Source organism: Homo sapiens, chromosome 12, assembly GCF_000001405.40.
Source record: "Homo sapiens chromosome 12, GRCh38.p14 Primary Assembly".
In the NCBI taxonomy this organism is placed as follows: Eukaryota; Metazoa; Chordata; class Mammalia; order Primates; family Hominidae; genus Homo; species Homo sapiens.
In genome coordinates this window covers 80,064,888-80,069,981 of record NC_000012.12, presented here as the reverse complement: position 1 = coordinate 80,069,981, position 5,094 = coordinate 80,064,888, and the positions used below count along the sequence as shown (strand labels likewise).

The 5,094-nt window shown below is 33.8% G+C and overlaps 1 pseudogene; it reads left to right on the top strand.

Moving 5' to 3' along the window:
* On the top strand, nt 1,228–1,272 carry RNU7-106P (RNA, U7 small nuclear 106 pseudogene; annotated as a pseudogene).

Genomic DNA, 5,094 nt, shown 5'->3' with positions numbered 1-5,094 from the left:
GTCAGCAAGAAGTACTGCTTTGTCATTGCCTAATGAGAAAGGAACGAAAATGTACTGAGTACCAAAATGATTAATCTGGGCCAAGTAAAGACAAAAACGGTATCATGGCAGGTTACACAAAGATTTCCTTATTATCCAAGCTTTTAAAAAGGTGGTAAAATTGAGCCATTATAAGATTTTATAGGTACATCAAACCCAAAGGATTCTATGCTATAATAGTATTCATAACAAGCAACAATTTCCTTTCAGCCACGTATCTATTACATTAAATATATGTCTCAAGTTCATATTCTATTGGTTTGTAGTTTTGTACATTTATGTTAGATTTATGGTCATATAGCAACCATTGGTCATATGTTAGATTTATGGTCATATAGCAAGCATTGGAAGTTTAAATCTAACTTAATATTTATACATATTTTAATAATACTGTAATAAAAAAGTCAACACTGAGCAATCTTTAGAACATTTTTTGAAATGCTATTATAAAACATTCTAATTTCTGTAGCTACATAATTTTTCATTATTTCATTTGGATTGGATTTTAAAATGTCTTTTTAAACCTATTTTTCCTACTGCTTATTACATGTCAAGCACTGTTCTAATTGCTTTTCGTGTGTTAATTTGTTTGTTTATCACAACACCATCCTTGGAGGGAAGTTATCCCATTGTGCAGACGAAGAAACTGAACTATTGTAAGAATAAGAATAAGAAATCTGCCCAAGGTAGGTCAACCAACAAGTAAGTGGCAGAGTAGGCATTCAAACCCAGGTATTCTGTCTCCAGGGCCCATATGCTTAACCTCTAAAGTATATTGCCTCTATCATTTATATGCCATTGATGATCTATAATTCCCCTGAAGTTATACAAATACTGAAAATGATTTTCTCAAAATCTTATCCTTCGTGGTTTTTAAGGTAAAAGAACGTTTGATTGTTCCTTTAAAAATTCCATTAGTCTCACTTTTCAGGAATTTGTCTCCAGCTTCCTAACATTTCCTAAAATTGTTCCCTGGAAGTAAAAGTACTGCTTCTTTTCGAAATGACCACTTATTTGAGTACTTCCTTGCTCCAACAATGTCCATCCGCAGTGTCCTCAGATGTCACCCAAACTATTCTGAAGACAAGGTTAATTTTAAGGGGATTTCAGAGTCAATCATATAAACAGTTTAAAAGTGGGATAGAATGGAGGGAAAGTGCAAGCACTGAGTGTATTAGATACCTAATATGTTACAGCTCTTTTAGAATTTGTCTAGCCAGCTTTCCGGTTTTTGCCCCCCAAAAAAGATACCTAATAAATACACACTTTTATACAGTTTCATTGGTTTGGAGGACTTTATGATGACAAGCAAATTCAAAATCATTACACTGAAGACTCACAGAGCCAAGTAGCTAATATGTCAACTGTGTCAGTCAGGATCACATTAGGAAACGGAAATCACACTCAAATTTGGCATTTGTCTCTTAAGGGATTCCTTCCAAAGGAGTGGGTGGGGTCTATGGAAATTGCACCCCTAGTACTAAGAGGACATCTTTACCATTCTAAGCCTGAAGGGGATGAAAAAGAACAGTCATGAGAAACAAAAGGATAGAGTCCTGTGGAGGGAGCCACCTGACTGAAGTCACAGCCTTTGGTAGAAAGAAGCAGCCAGCCAATGGCGACCCCCTCAGGGAGGTGGCAAGGGGATGAACACCTGCCCTCTCTCTCCTCCTTCCCTTCAGCTCTTGCTGGGACTCATATTGGCCAAACCAAACCAGCAGCCAAAGGCCAACATGGCTCATTGAAGTAGCACATACTTCTCAAACTCCTGGGGCACAGGGAGCATGAAGAACTGCAGACGGGGGATCCAGAGGAGCAAGCAAAAAATATCTAGGACCAGCACTGTGGTTGCTGTTAATATTTTATAATTAATCATCAACCCAAGCTGCTTTATCACCAAATAGTTTTTTTTTCCTAAAGGTCTCCATACCTAGAAATATTCCTTCATTTCACATAGCAGAGAAAGATCTTTTTCACTAATTCCTTATTTACCCCAGTCACCCTCCCAGTGAAAGTTTGCAGGCCACCCTATCTAAAATCGTAAACCCTCAATATGTTTTATTCCCTTCTATTCTATTCACTTCTGCATCCCTGCTGCTTAAGATAGGCCTGGCACAAAAAGGTTCCCCAAATGTTTTAGTAATTAATTGTAATTAATTAATAATTAATTGCTTACTAGCTGTGTCACCCTGGAAAAGCTCCTTAACCTCTGTGTGCATCAATTTCCTCATCTTAAAAATAGGAATAATTAATAACTACCCCATAAGTTTGTGATGAGGATTAAATTAGTTAAAATATGGAAAGCACTTAGAACAGTGCCTGGCAAATCAAAAACACATGAATGTTAGCAAATGTTTCACTGAAAACCCTTGAATTCTAATTTTTTATTTATGTTTGAGGATAAAGTACTAGTGGTTAATTTGTCTCAAAGAAAATAATAAAAACTTAAGTTGTATCAACTCTAATATTTTTCTTCCTGATAGTTTAGTTGTATCTAATTTTAAAATACACATACAAGGTATTCACAGCACATAAACCAATTTGATTGTTATACATGCATTTTTCCATGTGCATACAGATTTGTAATTTTTTTGTCAAGGCTGAAACTAATAAATAAAGCAAACAGGAAAAATTCCTGTCTTTTTCTTTACTGGCATACTGAAAGCAGAAATTTGTCAAGTAGAATCAGTCTATAGCAATTGTAATTGTTTAAGCAAATTTGACTTGTGATGACATTCTCTTCCACTATTTAAAAGCAAGTGATCATGACCATACTGTTACATATTTTCCTTAATTCATTTTTGTTTAGAATTAAACTTTCTTTATACCAAAAAAGGCATAAAATTTGGGGTGCAGTTCAGAAAATAGTTTTACAGAAATTAATGATCTAATTCTCTCATCAAAAAAAAAATAGCATTAGCCAAACTTATTACAGTCTAACATTCAAGAATTAAAAGTTTTAACCACCCCAGGACTTTTAAGAGATTTAATATTGAGACTATGCTTATTTTAATGCTGAGGTCTTACCTTTTTTTCTTCTGTATGAGCAACTTACAGATGACTAACACACATGAGCTAAGAAAAGCACAAATAAATTGTCTCTTTTTCAATAGTTCAATAATTTTTTCTGCTGAGTTACATGTACCTATAAAAGCTGACTTGTTATCCTGAACTATAAAAAATAAAATGCATTCTTTAATTAAATGAGGTATTTTATTATTATCAGCCAAGGAAAACAAAACAGCTATTAAACTAAAATTACTATTTTATAAAGCACTATTGCTCTTAGAAGTATTTGTGTGAATATATACACTTCAAAGGAGTGAATCTTCTCATAGAAAGAAGAATTGACAAAAAATTTTACGTTAGCATTATTTCTGATATTCATTCAACAAGTAATTGGAAATAGCTGCAGATTTACAAAATTTCTGAAGACAGAATAATCATCATTTTTTAAATCCAGGAACCCAAACCATGATCATTCTTTTGACTATGAGAAATTTACAGCTACTTAACATCTTATTGTGGGTTTCTTTTCCTGTCTTTTCTTTTCATTCTTTTTTAATCCCTTTTTTCTAGTAGACATAATTACAATTAATAAAACAAACTGACAAAATTATTATTATAGTAACGTTTTTAAGGACTTCTCTCATAGCCTATTTTTATTTCTCCTAATCCTACAACCCTTTCTCAACTTTATTGTCACTCTAGAAACATTAAGGACCATTAATTGAATCAGGACATTCATGATACTCTTAAAACACTTTGTACCCTTATATAGGGTTTCTATCAATTTTGTCCAGTTTAATGATGCCTTAAGATGACTCTTTATGCATGCATCATTCATCCATTTAAAGCACTGCTCTAGGTATGGGAGGGATATCTGCAATGAATATGACAGACATCTTACCTCCTATGCTCACCGACATGCCTTATTCCTTCCTTGCTGGCTCAATGAAAATAATAATAATCACCAATTATTGAGCACTTATTAGGTAAATTTACTGTTGTGATGTGTGTTTCACAGAATTATCTCTTTAATTCTCACAACCTAACCTGCTTAAGAGATAGTTTAGTGCGCTCCAGTTGATCTCCTAGCTCTGCCATTTACTAGCTGTGTTGCTTGGGCAAGTAATCTCACCTCCCTGGATCTCCATTCTTTATCCACAAAGTTGAGATAATAATAGTATTTTCTGTTTGTCTGTAAATCAGGGAGCAGAATCATACCTAGCACAGGGATTCCTGTAAATATTAAATTAGTTGATGTAAATAAAGTGCTTAGAATAGTTCCTGGCTTGGTAAATGTGAGCCATTATTACAGGTATTGTTTTATCAATTAAGAAACTGATACATTTTAGTAATTTTATCATAATGACACAGCAACCAAGAGATTGGGCTAGCATCTCTAAACCCTGGTCTCCCTCCATGAATGTCCAAGTGAGGTGTTAACTGTACCAGCTACCAATTTACAACAGATTTTGCCCTCTCGGGAAAATAAAAATATAAAAAGAAAAAATATTGCTCTCTGAATGAAGCTAATTAGAGGCTCTCTAAACAGTCGGCTTTGCTTGAATATAATAGTGAAGGGAAATATTAAAGATTTTCAAATAACTTATTGAAAGAAAAAGAGGGAAGAAAAATGGCAGAGCATTTAGAGTTAGAACAGACATGAACAATACAGTAGCAGGAAATTCCTCTTATTTGCTATTTAATCAACCTTCATAACGTAGGTATTATTAGACACCTATCACAACATGCAAAAGGAAAACAGCAGACTTCCTGGGATTGAACATCAGACACAAGTAATTCAAACTAGAGTAAAATAAACATCGTTAAAGCATAACTCTTGCTTTTTTGCCAGTTCTGGCTGTCTTGATCCAGTATTGTAACATTTAAAGAATATTAATCAGTCACACTTAAAATCAATTTAGGAGATTTTTTATTTCTTACCAGTTTGTGGATAACAGTAAATGTGGATAATTATGCTCAGTTTTAAAAGGTGGAAAGTGATTTCACTTCTAGTCATATTTTCCACATTACTTCTGTAGAAAAATA